General features: G+C 38.8%; 1 protein-coding gene across 13 annotated transcripts in view; it reads right to left on the bottom strand.

The window, feature by feature from the left end:
- Window positions 1-14,902, bottom strand: part of PLEKHA8 (pleckstrin homology domain containing A8) — a 102,072-nt gene that overhangs the window by 65,036 nt on the left and 22,134 nt on the right. For all 13 annotated transcript variants that reach the window (NM_001350973.2, NM_001350974.2, NM_001350975.2 and 10 more), the window contains 6 exons: window positions 12,582-12,739; window positions 10,583-10,739; window positions 10,106-10,191; window positions 4,506-4,564; window positions 3,421-3,551; window positions 2,706-2,776 (listed from right to left, as the gene is read on the bottom strand). In NM_001350973.2, coding sequence (NP_001337902.1) covers window positions 2,706-2,776; window positions 3,421-3,551; window positions 4,506-4,564; window positions 10,106-10,191; window positions 10,583-10,739; window positions 12,582-12,739 — 662 coding nt within the window. The remainder of the gene's footprint in view (window positions 1-2,705; window positions 2,777-3,420; window positions 3,552-4,505; window positions 4,565-10,105; window positions 10,192-10,582; window positions 10,740-12,581; window positions 12,740-14,902) is intronic.

The following is a 14,902-nucleotide window of genomic DNA, read 5'->3' as shown; positions in this document are numbered from 1 at the left end:
TGTGTCTGTGTCTGTGGGAGGGGAGGGTGGGTTTAACAGGGGAACTTTGGAGGGAGGGTGGGTTTAATAGGGGAACTTTATCTCCTCATACTAAGCAGCAGCAAGAAACTAGGGATTTCCACAAAGATAGGATTTAAATCATAAACACCTTCTTTGAAATAAGCCTGAACATCAGGACAAAAATGTCAAATTTACAGCCTCCCTTCTCTTTTCCATTGAAAATTGTGCCGAAGGAGAAGAGAGGGAAGAAAAAGCTGAGACTGGCTGTGATTATTGCAGTCACAAAGCAGCATTTGCCCTTCAAAGTCTCCTCTTTCTTCACAAAGTCAATACATCCCCTGGGCCCAGTCTCCAAATCAAGTACAACATTTGATGAGAAACCTTGAGGAGAAAAGGAGAGAGAAAAGTGGGCAGAATTGGGGTTGGGACTGGATAGAAATGGTATATCCTGTTTCCTTTCTATGTCTAGGGGGGTCAAAGCCCATAAGCAGCTGGGTTCCGTTCCACCCCAGCTCTTCCAGTGGGCTAAATGGGATCAGCATTGTCCTACTCCCCTTCCATAGACAGCCCTAACAAAGTAATAGCAGCATGAGACAAGCGGAGTCCACTGGGCACACAGTGCTAAACCCTGTATCTTCTGCATTTCCAACAGGTGGAGAAGTCTTTCTGCTAGCATGAAAATTCCATACTAATAAGTTAGTTTGAAGTGAAGTTTCTGGCTTGGCACCTAAGCTTTGTAAACTTTCCATTACTGATGTGGGACAAATAAGTCTTATTTTCTGGCAGGTTATTAACTTCATATATCATGATTATGATAATGATGACAAAACATCATTATCACAACAATAGATGCTAATCTTGACGACTGAGCATTGTTTTTTTGTTTGTTTGTTTGTTTTTGAGACAGGGTCTGGTCTCACTCGATTGCCCAGACTGGAGTACAGTGCCATGATCACAATTCACTGCAGCCTTGACCTCCTGGGTTCAAGCAATCTTCCCACCTCAGCCCCCTAAGTAGCTGGGACTACAGGCACGCAACACCATACTCAGCTAATTTTTGTAGAGATGGAGTTTTGCCGTGTTGCATAGGCTGGTCTCAAACTCCTGAACTCAAGTGATCCTCCTGCCTCAGTCTCCGAAAGTACAGGCATGAGCCACCACACCCGGCCACACTGAGTGTTTTGCGTACCAAATACTTCTGTAATTTTTTCACATGCACATGCACCTACTTAATATTTACAACCACCTTGTTAGGGAAATAATATCACCATTCCCATTTTATAGATGAACAAAGTGAGGATCAGAGAGGTTAAATAACTTGCCTAAGGGCAGAGCACTAATAAGTGGCAGAATCCAGAGAGCCACTCCAGAGCTCCTGATCCTACACTCCACAAGCCATAAAGCTTGACAGATACTGGCTAGGGGGCATGAGTAGACATGCTGAATATACTTTTAGTACTTGAAATCAGGACACAGAGGGGAGAATATAACTGAGACCATCCTGAAATTCAGGGATGTATGGGGAATGTAAAAATGCAGGTGGCCCAGGAATGGTGGAAAAGACCCTTTGTAGGAGAAATGTGGACCTTCAAAGCAGGGGCCTCAAAGCCACTCTGCTTCAGACCTTATGCTGGTCTTAAGCAATATTTTAATCTTACAGTTCCCTAACCTGTAAAAATGGATTGAAATGAGGATTAAGTTTATGAAGTCTACATTGTTCACAAAGTGCTATAGAAATGTCAGCTCTCATTTTTATGGCAGATCAGCAGTTGCTAGATGGGGCAGACTCGGGAAATCACGTGGGGGCAGAATTCTTGAGGACTCATGGCCCAGAGAGAGGACTAACAGAAGGAGGTAGAACCCAACTGTGACACTGAAAAAAAGCCACAGAGAACACTAGCTCCCTCTCAAACCAGAAGCATCTAATTAGTTTATGTCACAGTTCATTTTTTTCTCCACACACGCCTCATGGCCCATGCTAGAAGAATTTCCTATAGATCAATGGTGAGAGTTCAGCCACTCCATTAGAAGCACTCTAAGGATGCTCCCCAATCTCAACATTTTCCAAAACTGGTCTGATAAATGGCTCTATCCACACATCCATCCATCTACCTACCTGTCCAATGTTTATTAAGCACCTACAATGTTGCAGTCACTACTTTAAGGTGCTGGAGATATAAGATGATCTCCTCTGACCAAGCCCTTCATCCCATTTTGGCTTTATGACTAGAAACTGGGACGCACACAGCATTATATATTTGAGGAGTTACACGACGACGACGAAAACCTTTACTCTTACTCCAGAACAAATCCCTGGGATTCCCCCACGCCAACCCGCTGTTATGGTGTTCAAGCTTTTCTTTGTATACTGATTTTCAAAGACTATAATATATTTGAAGATTTAGGAAAACTAACTTCTTGATAATATTAGGTCTTCCTATTATGTTTAAGAGATGGCTTTCCACTTATTCAGCACGTCTTTAAAATATACTGATTTTTAGTAAGTTACATCTAGATTACCAGGTCATTGTCTCATAGGTACTTTTAAACAAAGCATATAAGAAGCAATGAATAATAATGAAATAAGAAAAGAAACAAAATCAAATTCTGAAAAGCAGAAATATCCCCTATACCCTGTATCCTCCTCTAGGGGTCTCCATTCCACAGTCTATTGACTCATTCAACAAAACATAAAGAACACTTACTTAGGGCTGTCTGGATATCCTTCTCCCCATTTTTCACTTCTGTCAAAAATCCCTTCAAAAATTTGAGACCTCTAAAACAAAATAAAGGAAGAAATATTATTTTCAAAGTTCACTTATGTTGAGTGGGTATAAAGAAATGGCAGACATCAGCTTCCATTTCAGTAACATCTTAGGCACAGCAGTGAATAGGTCAAATCATATGGCAGTCCTTCCTGAACCTCTTCCCTTCACTTCCCTTTAGCTTGCTCTGGAGCCCATCTTTCATCTCATCTGATATACCTAAAGAAGTGGTTTTCAAAATGTGTCCCAGGACTAGTGGCTTTAGCATCACCTGGGAATTTGCTAGAAATGCAAATTCTGGGGCCCCACCCGAGTTACTGAATCAGAAACTGTTTCCGAGTCTAGTGTTTTTAACAAGTCCTCCAGATGATTCTGATGCCACTGAAGTTGGAGAGCCACTGATTTAAAGAGAAGCCAGTTGACTTTAATGCCTTTAAGATTCCTATCTTATATATACTTATCAACAATATTTATCACCATCAAAAGAGAGGCAAAAAAAAAATAAGGTGGTATTATTCATTAGGCCTTCTAGAAAAGGCTACACAATTCAACTAGATCCTTCACTCAGAAGTAGTCTCCTTTGTGTAACAATTTTTTTTGCTGGTAATTTTTTTTGAGCTAGATTTTAACTGCTGTCCCACCCCAGCTGCCTCACCTCTTCAGCCACAAGAGGGCTTCAGTCGCTGAGTTCCTAACCTGGGCTACATCCGCCTCCACTTCGTGCAGCACTATCTTCTGGAGAGTGGTAAACTCTTCTTTGTTGGTTATATACTTCTGATTTACTTTCTGGAGGGAAAGCAGGGAAACAACCTAAGTTTAAAATGCTGAAGTTATCAAGCAACTCAGTATAGTCTGGAGACTTGTAAGTTTGGCAAGCAGGCCTCTAAGAAAATAAATTAAGCTCCTATTACCTTCTTCCTTATGTTTTCATGATAGTATTTGTTTTGGAGAATTCTATGTAGCTTAAACTGGAATTAAATAGTCTCAGGGTTTAAAGTTTTGTTCTTAAAGTTATTTTTTCTGCCTCAGAACCTCTCTCATGCTTGTCTTTGGCAGATACTTTTCACTCTGAATATAAAACTCAACAATCATTTGTTCTAATGAGACTACTTGCAACTGTTCCACCTAAATACAATAAAGAAAGGTATACCTACAGGAATTCCTAATAGTGCTTCCTCAAAGACTAGTCTCCAATGACAAAAAAGATTTTTATTGGGCACTGTATCCTCAAGAAGGTAACATTTAATCTGCATTTAAAAGGGGACCCATCCCTTATTTTACCTGGAAGAAAGAGGCTCAGAGATTTGGTGAGTTGTTGATGGTCCCACAACTACCACTGGAAATGGGCCTTTTGAGTCCCAGACCACTGACAGCTATTTTCACTATATAACCTATCTTTTAGAAAAATATAACTTATCACCATTTAAACCTAAAAAAGCACAGAATCAGTGTGGACATTAGAGTGAAACCCTACTGATCCACACGGTGCACATGAAAAGGCAGTCCTGGTTTCATTTTAAAAATGAATCTTCTACTCCCCATAAAGCTTAACTCTAGCATATAATAAAGGCTTAGTAATTCCCTTACTGAGCATTCACAGTGTGAGAAGAAAGATGCTTGCTCTCTTAAAAGAACAGTGACACATTTTTCACTTTTTGATTTATTCTGGCCAAGCACAAAAATGTTGAGAACATTTTCCTTTATTTAAAAGTTTCCACAGAGACAAACCAGTATGCTCACCTTAATATTTCCAACAAGATCCATCTTAACAGGAGCAAACACTGTAGGGCCAAGTTTGTCTAGAAGAAAAGATTAAAAACATTTCTGAAAAAGCAATTTTTAAGTGGCAATATTTTTTATAATAAAGTAATAATAAATTTAGCAGATCCCCAACAACTTTAATTTTTGCTTCCAAATCATTTATCTAAACATAATCTTCAAAAGCTCCCAGGATACTATTACCATCTTTTTCTATTACACTACTCCAAGGTGAGTTATAATGAGGCCCTAAGTGACAGGTGAGATGAAGATAATCTTATAAGTTTAGGATTCATATAGTAATCCTTAGGGCTGCACTGTCCAATATGGTAGCCACCAGATATGTGGCTAGTTAGTACTTGCAGCGTGGCTAGTACTAACCAAAATGTACTGGAAGTAAAATACGTACCAGATTAGGAAGACTGAGTATGAAAAAGAGATTGCAAAATATCTCATTAATGATTCTTTCGGTTTGTTTGTTTTTTTGAGATGGAGTCTCTCGCTCTGTCCCCAGGCTGGAGTGGAGTAGCATGATCTCGGCTCACTGCAACCTCCACCTCCCAGGTTCAAGCGATTCTCCCTCAGCCTCCCGAGTAGCTGAGATTACAGATGCCCACCACCACGCCCAGCTAATTTTTGTATTTTCAGTAGAGACGGGCTTCACCATGTTGGCCAGGCTGGTCTCGAACTCCTAATCTCAAGTCATCTGCCCACCTCAGCCTCCCAAAGTGCTGGGATTACAGGCGTGAGCCACCATGCTCAGACTCATTAATGATTCTTTTTTCTGGGGGGACGGAGTCTCGCTCTGTCACCAGGCTAGAGTGCAGTGGCATGATCTCAGCTCACTGCAACCTCCGACTCCCTGGTTCAAGCGATTCTCCTGCCTCAGCCTCCCAGGTAACTGGGATTACAGGCATGTGCCATCACGTTGGCCAAGACGGTCTCGATCTCCTGACTTTGTGACCCACTTGCCTCGGCCTCCCAAAGTGCTGGGATTACAGGCGTGAGCCACCATGCCCGGCCCAATGATTCTTTTATATTTATTACATGTTAAGATATTTTAGATATTCTAGGTTTTAAAATAATTAAAATTAATTTGTGTTTACTATGTTAATATGCCTACTAGAAAACTTAAAATTACATATGTGGTTTGAATATTTCTGTTGGGCAAGAACAATGACTAAAAAATAAAACAAAGAGGTATAGCTAAAAAGCCAAAAGAGAAAAGATAGAGGAATTCTTAAAAAAAAAAAAAAAATACTTGATTGATCTAAAAGAAAGGCAGGGACAAAGATAGGTAGCTAAGAGGCCAAAAGAGGAAATAAAACAGAATACTAAAAAAAAAATTGATTAACTGGCTAGAGATCAGGAAAGGAGTAAAAAGGGAACAAAGAACATACAGAGAAAAGCAGAAAATAAGTAGCAAGATGATAGAAACAAATACCAAGATAATGAATGAAATTCATCCAAACAATGTAATTCATTACATTAACAAATTACAGGAAAAAAATGACTTCAGCAAATACAGAAAAAGCATTTTATGAAGTTAACTCATTCATGATTATAAAAACAACTCAGCATATAAACATAATTTGCATGTACATGCTATTAATAATCGGAAAATGAAATAAAACACTTTTTACAACAGAATAAAAAAATAAAATTCTAAAACTTATTCCTAACAAAAGAATATGATAGCTATACACTAAAAACTAGATAGAACATTCTTCAGAGAAAATTAAAATGACTTAAGTAAATAGATACAGCATCCTCATGGATTGGAAGACTCAATGCTTTTGTTTTTGAGACAGGGTCTTGCTCTGTCAACTAGGATGGAGTGCAGTGGTGCAGCCACGGCTCACTGCAGCCTTGATATCCCAGGCTCGTGTGATTCTCCTGCATCAGCCTCCCAAGTAGCTGGGACTACAGGCTTGCGCCATCACACCTGGCTAATTTTTTTCATAGAGACAGGGTCTTACTTTGTTGCCTAGGCCAGGATCAAACTCCTGGTTTCAAGCGATCCTCCTGCCTTGGCCTCCCAAAGTGCTGGGATTACAGTTATAAGCCAGTGAGCCCAGCCTTCGATGTTGTTTAAGATGTCAGCTTTCCCCTAATTGGTTTAGAGATATAATGTAATCTTAATCAAAATCCTAAAAAGCTTTTAAATAGGAATTGAACAGCTAAAATTTATCAAAAGGCCTAGAATTTCCATAACAATCTTGAAAAAGAAAAAACTGAGAGACTTACATTATCTGATTTCAAGCCTTATAATAATTAAGACACCATAAGATCATTGGAACAGAAAAGAGAGTCCAGAAACAGTCCCATATTATAAGCATTATAAGTTCAATTGGTTTTTGACAGAGCTGCCAAAGCAATGTAAAAAGGAAAACATATTTTGACCCACGGTTCTTGAGCAACCAGTTACCACAAGGAAAAAAAAAAAAAAAAAAGAACCTCAACTCCCTACCTCACACCACACACAAAAAATAATTCCAGTGGTTCATAGGCACAAATGTAAAAGTTAGAAGAGTCTAGAAGAAAACAGAATATCTTCATGACCTTTGGGATAGGTAAAGATTTCTTAAGACACTAAAAGCACTAAGTATAAAAGAAGAAACTGGACTTCATGGAAATTTAAAACTTCTGAAAAGGCATCATTAAGAAAAGGAGGAGGCAAGCCATGCTCTGGGGGAAAATATTCACATGTCTACAATGGAATTTTAATTAAGAATATATAAAGAACTCTCCCAACTCAGTAATAAAAAGAAAAACAATTAACTTTTAAAAATGGGTGAAAGATCTGAACAGACATTTCACAATGGAAGAGATAGGGATGGCCAATAATTATAAAAAAAAAGTGCTCAATATCATTAGTCATCATGGAAATGCAAATTAAAGCCACAATGAAATACCACTAAAACATTCAGGAATGCCAAAAACAAAATATTGACACTACCAAATGCTGGTGAAGAAGTCAAACAACTAAAATACTCATACACTATGAACAACTGTGCAACCATTATAACTGTCTGGCAGTTTATTATAAAGTTAAACTATGAACCAGCAATTCCAGTCCTAGGTATTTACTCAAGAGAAATGAAAGCATAGGCCCATAGGCACAAAAATGTTTAGAGCAATTTCATTTATAATAGTCCCAAATTGGCCAAGAGCAGTGGCTCACTCCTGTAATCCCAGCACTTTGGGAGACCGAGGTGGGCAGATCATGTGAGGTCAGGAGTTTGAGACCAGCCTGGCCAACATGGTGAAACCTTGTCTCTATTAAAAATACAAAAAAAATTGGCCAGGCATGGTGGCACAGGCCTGTAACCCCAGCTACTTGGGAGGCTGGGGCAGGAGAATCACTTGAACCCGGGAGGTGGAGGTTGCAGTGAGCCAAGATTGTGCCACTGCACTCCAGCTTAGGTGACAGAGCAAGACTCTGTCTCAAGAAAAAAAAAAAAAGAGTCCCAAACTACAAACTGCCCAAAGTCCATCCATAAGAGAGTGAATAAATAATTGTGGTATATTCATTTAATGGAATACTACTTAGCAATAAAAAGGAACGAACTACTGATACAGAAAACAAGGACGGATCTCAAAAACATACTGTATGAGAAAAGCCAGAGGCAAAAAAGTATAATATTCCAGTTATATCAAGTTTTAGAATAGGCAGAACTAACCTATGGTGACAGAAATCAATAAAATGGTTATTTCAGGCTGAGTGACACAGGGAACATTCCAGGGTGATGAAAACATACTATTTCTTGATAAGGATATGGATTAGAGAGGTAGATGCATTTGTCAAAATTCACTGAATCATAACAGTTAAGACCTACGCAAGTTATACCTCAATTTTTACAAAAGATGTATAGTTAAATGGGTCATAAAGCAAATTTCAACACATTAGCCATTGTTGGTATTACTGACTTTATACAAGTAAAAGTGAATTTGACCTAAATAAACTTTTTTATATATATAAATATATATTATATATAATATATAAAATTATGTATTTGTTAGATATAAATTACATATAATTTAAATGTTACATATAAATTTTCAGATATATTTATCTATTAAATATATATATAACATATATATACATAACATATATATACACATAACATATATATATACACACACACACACACACACACACACACACACACACACACACACTTTTTTTTTTTTTTTTTTGAGACAGGCTGTCTGTCATCCAGGCTGGAGTGCAGTGGTGCAATCTCGGCTCACTGCAACCTCCGTCTCCCAGGTTCAAGCAATTCTCCTGCCTCAGCCTCCTGAGTAACTGGGATTACAGGTGCGCGCCACCACACTCAGCTAATTTTTGTATTTTTAGTAGAGACGGGGTTTTACCATGTTGGCCAGGCTGGTCTCAAACTCCTCATCTCAGGTGATCCGCCCACCTCAGCCTCCCAAAGTGCTGGGATTACAGGCGTGAGCCACTGTGCCCAGCCATAACATACATTTTATTTATTTACATATATATGTATGTTATATATATGTGTTATATATATTATATATATGTTATTTATATATATATGTGTTATATATATTATATATATGTTATTTATATATATATATATATATAGAGAGAGAGAGAGAGAGAGAGAGAGAGAGAGAGAATATATCTTTAAAAATCTTTGAAAATATGTTTTGCAGGCCGGGCGTGGTGGCTCACACCTGTAATCCCAGCACTTTTGGAGGCCAAGGCAGGCGGATCACGAGGTCAGGAGATCAAGACTATCCTGGCAAACACAGTGAAACCCTGTCTCTACTAAAAATACAAAAAAATTAGCCAGGTGTGGTGGCAGGCACCTGAAGTCCCAGCTACTCGGGAGGCTGAGGCAGGAGAACAGCATGAACCTGGGGGGCGGAGCTTGCAGTGAGTGGAGATCCCGCCACTGCACTGCAGCCTGGGTGACAGAGCAAGACTCCGTCTCAAAAAAAAAAAAAAAGAAAATATGTTTTGGTTGGGTATGGTGGCTCACATTTTGGGAGGGAAGGATCACTTGAGCCCGGGTGTTCCAAACCAGTATGGGCAACATGACGAAACCCATATCCACAAAAAATACAAAAATTAGCCGGGCATGCGCATATAGTCCAGCTACCAAGAAGGCTGAGGTGGAAGGATTGCTTGAGCCTGGGAGGTGAAGTTTGCAGTGAACAGAGATCATGCCACTGCACTCCAGCCTGGGCAACAAAGCAAGAGCCTGTCTCAAAAAAGTTTTAACTGGTAAAACACATTTTTTCACAGTGCCAATATATTTGAAGGTCTATTCCTCAAATACTTTTTTTACTTTTATGTATGGTTTCTAGAAAGATCCCCCTTTTAAATTACATTATTTTGAGGTCAATATTTAATCATTATTAGAAATGAAATGGGAATATGCAATAATGCTTAAGGTCACACAGTTTTAACTGTATGTGTCTGGTGATTTGAACAAATAGCCAAGGGTCATCTCACTGTACACATAGTTTGGGGTATTTCTCCTGCAAAATAACTACAGTGAGGCAGATTCTAGACATGAATGAATGTAAGGCAACTGCAGGAATCTTACCTAATACTGGAACCACAGCATAACATGATGCCAAGAATGCTTCTGTGGGAATGCCACTGTCTTCCAGAAGTTCAATGTCACTAAAGCTACATAATTTGGTGATATGGAGGAGAAAAGATTGAAAATACAGTATCAGCACTCTGCAATTCAGAGGTAAGTCATAGACACAGCTGCCTCTCTGTAGGGCAAATCGTTTGACTTGATATGCCCCAGTAACTGTTTTTCTAATATGGTCTCATAAAATAAATTTCCAAAGATAATCCACCAAAGCAAGCTAACATTTGTTCACAGAGCACACTTCACAATGAATTCCTTCTTATTCATTGGTAAGAAAGAGTAAACAGTAAAGCAGGTACTTGGTATACCACATTCTCTATTCTCCTAGAATATGCCATCACCTGAAAGGAACACCATGACTGATTTTCCAGAATGGAAGTTAGTATCCAAGCATCAGTGATATTAAAGAGTCTAGAATACCTTGTGTTCATGGTACTAAAGAAAGTTGGGATAACTTCTTTGCCTTCCTCCCAGAGGCATTCCGGAGAGCAACTTGAGTCTGATCCAGACTGAGTCAAGTTATTGTCATGATTTTTCAGGTTTTCCATTCCATCTTCCTTCCTTATTTCACCTTGGACTGCAAAGTAGAAAATATCTATTACTAACCTATTATATATTTATTATAAAAATACATATTGATTGTTGAAAATTTCTAAAACACAGAAAAATACATAGAAATAAAAATTCATGAAACACTATTCACATATACATAAACATACATCTACACACACAAACAAAACTTGAAGTATGTGTAGATTTGAATCCTGCTTGCTTTCACTAAACAATGTATCATGAATATTTTCATTATCATTCAACCCTTCAAAAACATGATTTTAATGACCATGTTATATTGTATCATATCCATGAGGGGCACTTAGGTAGCTTCCAAAATTTTACAATTATAAATACAATCACTACTCATTATTAGCACATTCTATATGTATTTGTGAATTTGTCTACTTGCTAAAATTTATTTTGTAACCCCAAAATCAATACATGCGGCACTTTTGCAGACATTTGTGGACACGTGCAAAGTGGTGAAAACTTTGTTGCCGGACACACATATTCCTAGCTGAGGTAGAGCAATGTGATGTTCTGCCTTCTTGTTTCAGCTCTCATAGTATAGACAAATGTCCTTACTTAGTGCCACATTTTATGCATGTTTGTGCATTTTATTGTTTTTGCTGTTTAAAAGGGCTCCCAAGTATAGTACCGTCTAGCGTTCCTACCCACAAAAAGGCTGTGATGTGCCTTATGGAAAAAAGATGTGTGTTAGATAAGCCTCATTCAAGCATGAGTAATAGTGCTGTTCACCGTGAGTTCAATGTTAATGAATCAACAATACATATTAAAGTGTCTTTAAATGAAAACACACATAAAACAAGGTTATGTATTGATTGGTAGACAAAAATTTTGTGACCAAAGTCTTGCAGGAACCTAACCTTGTATTTCCCCCAGGAGCAAGAGTTTAGTATTTGCTAATTTAGTGCTCATGGTGACTCAATAACACCTAACTACTGCAAATAATGAGAACTGACTGTAATGCCACAAAGAACATCCCTATCAATAGGTCTTTCTCCTTAAATCTAACTATTCACTGAAGAACAATTCCTAGAAGCAAAATTATAGGAGCAAATAAATGACTGCACTGTTTTGACAGATATTTTCTTCTGTCTTTATTATTTACCCAAGAGATAAGGCTCCAATGATGTGTGGATTGTCTCTCTCAGATTAACAGCTAAGAATACACAGCTCCTTCCCTCAACTCCCACACTGCTCCCCAATTCATCGAGAAAAAATAAGGTCTCTTATTTCAAGGTAGATGGAAGGAAATTTTAATTTCATTTTCAAATTATTAAGTTCTTATAACACAATTAAAAGCTCTAATATAGTTGTCTTTGATCTAAAGTAGATTTCAGTGATTAGTGCCAAGGGATTAGCATATTTGAACTACAAACCTATTACCTGAAATGTGGGACTTTGGCTTGATAAACAGAGAAGACTGCGTAGAAACCTCATGGTGACTGGTGAATTCTGACATCCTCAGGCCCAACAGAAACCGGGAGGATGAAAAACTGAACTGCTGTAATTTTACACACTGTTACGTATAACATCATAATCTAAGTTCAAAGGACTTTTAAGATACAGGGTTGAAGGCCCTCTGCTCACTGCAGCCCATGAACACAGCCAAGAACACTGAGCAGGAATCTTCCTCTTTTCACTCTGCCTTCTCAACACCAGGTCAGATTGGATGAAAGAATGTTGTTCAGTCATATGACTTATCTTACCCAGCCAATATCCTCCTTAGCAGACACTACTACATGGTCTTGAGGTTAATCCCTATCATGGATATTCATCAAATTCCCAAATTTTCTATCATCTAAAATTGGTTTGTTTCAGACTTTACTTTTGTTTTTACCTGTTATATTATCATCTGTATTTTCCTCACTTGATATGCTGCAGTCTATCTCTGCAGATTTCAAATATAAGGAATTCTTATTTTTCATTAGGATTTCTTCCTCACCATTTATTTCCATATTTAAAGATCCATTTTCACAAGTGCTCAACTCCATTTGCCTGCAAATTTTTTAAAAGGAAAAAAAGCCAGAAGGTCGTTATTTGGTCTTTTTTTTTTTTTTTTTTTTGAAACAGGGTCTCCACTCTGTCACCCAGGCTGCAGTACAGTGGCACAATCACAGCTCACTGCAATCTTCTGGGCTCAATCAATCCTCCTACTTGAGCCCAGCACTCCACCCTGAGTAGCTCGGACTACAGGTGCCTGCCACCATGCCCGGCTAATTTCTAATTTTTTGTAGAGATGGGGTGTCACTATGTTGCCCAGGTTGGTCTTGACCACCTGGCCTCAGGCAATCCTCCCACCTCAGCGTTCTAAAGTGCTGGGATTACAGGCATGAGCCACCTCGCCAAGCTTGGTCATAAATTGACTGCCCAGGTAGATGTTATCCTTTCAACATCCACTGAAAGAATTGTTAAATCAAGCCAAACCTCCCAGTCTTCTGCCTCCAAGGCCTGTGATGGGAGCAGTCCAGCCTCAAGGCTGCAATTTAGAAATCAAAGAGCCATTAATGGCTTTCCCAGCACCTCAGCAGTCCCAATCTTCCTGCTCCCCAGCAGCATCAGGAAATAGTCATTGACAGCTCTTTGGTTTTCCATCAGTTTTCTCCGGTGCCACTTTGCACACTTTACTTTCCTCAACTTCTCCCTGGGGGGCTTCTTCTCTCTCTCTACACCACTGGCCATTTCTCTGTGTTTGCCCGGCCAGTAACTGTCTATTTATTTATTTATTTATTTTGAGATGGAGTCTCGCTCTGTCACCCAGGCTGGAGTGCAATGGTGTGATCTTGGCTCACTGCAACCTCTGCCTTCCGGGTTCAAGTGATTCTCCTGCCTCAGCCTCCTGAGTAGCTGGGATTACAGGCACCTGCAACCACACCCAGTTAATTTTTGCATTTTTAGTAGAGACAGGTTTCACCAGGTTGGCCAGGCTGGTCTTGAACGCCTGACCTCAGGTGATCCACCCGTCTCGGCCTCCCAAAGTGCTGGGATTATAGGCGTGAGCCACCATGCCCAGCCAGGGAGAGTACTCCTTATAAAGTATGTCTGAGAGAAAAAACCCAGGAGGACCACATCACATCCTGAGGGAAATGTCAGCACATTAGGGTAACAGAAAAAGCCAATTAACATGCAAGTAGAACAGGTAATTCTATCGGTTAAAGGAACGATCATAATATATTATCATTATGATTAGGTGATTATACCTAGCCTAATTAGAACAAAAATATTTTCTTCTAATAAAAATAAGAAGGAAGGGTCCAAGCTACATAGTAACTACAGGAAAAGTATTTGCTATTTTCTTAAAAAAAAAAAACCATATTTCAACCTAGTAATTCAAAATGTAGGAGCATATAGAGGCAAAGACCTCAACAACTGCAAAAAACCTACAAATATGCTCCTAGTAAGAATATTTAGAACAGGAGAAAACTGGAAATAACTAAATTGGGAACAATCCTTGTAATAAAGAAGTAAGCAATAGTATATAAAGAGATGAACTATTAAATAATTTGAGGCCGGGCACAGTGGCTCAAGCCTGTAATACCAATACTTGGGGAGACCAAGGCGGGTGAATTGCTTGAGCTCAGGAGTTCAAGACCAGCCTGGGCAACATGGTGAAACCCTATCTGTACAAAAAATACAAAAATTAGCCAGGCATGGTGGCATGCACCTATAGTCCCAGCTACTTGGGACGCTGAGGTAAGAGGATTGCTTGGGCCCACGATGTTGAGGCTATAGTAATTTAGCCCACTTTCATGGGTTAAATCATCTTAAAAATTGAAGGAGCATTTAGGGAATAGAAATAGTTTAGATTTTGATAGTAGGTTATTTTTCAACCTGCAACGCTACCTAAGATTTTTATTTTTAAACACAACAAAATAGCACTACTATCATTTCTAGATAAAAGCACCCTTAAAACAATGCTCAGAGAGAAGTTTCCTCTACAAGAGAAGTTTCTACCTTAAGTACACCCTAGAGAGATTAAAAGTTACTAGATGTGATGGGTGAGATCCATCTTAGGGAAAATGCCAACATCTTCCCTATTAGTGCTAAGTAAAAGGTCTGCTCTGGGTTGATTCAGGCTCACTCAAAAGAGGAAAGTCAGATATTGTTTACTTCCATATTATTTCAAATCCTGAGAAAAACCATTACAAGATCAAAGTATCT

Source organism: Homo sapiens, chromosome 7 (genome assembly GCF_000001405.40).
Source record: "Homo sapiens chromosome 7, GRCh38.p14 Primary Assembly".
In the NCBI taxonomy this organism is placed as follows: Eukaryota; Metazoa; Chordata; class Mammalia; order Primates; family Hominidae; genus Homo; species Homo sapiens.
This window is presented reverse-complemented; position numbering and strand designations above follow the sequence as displayed.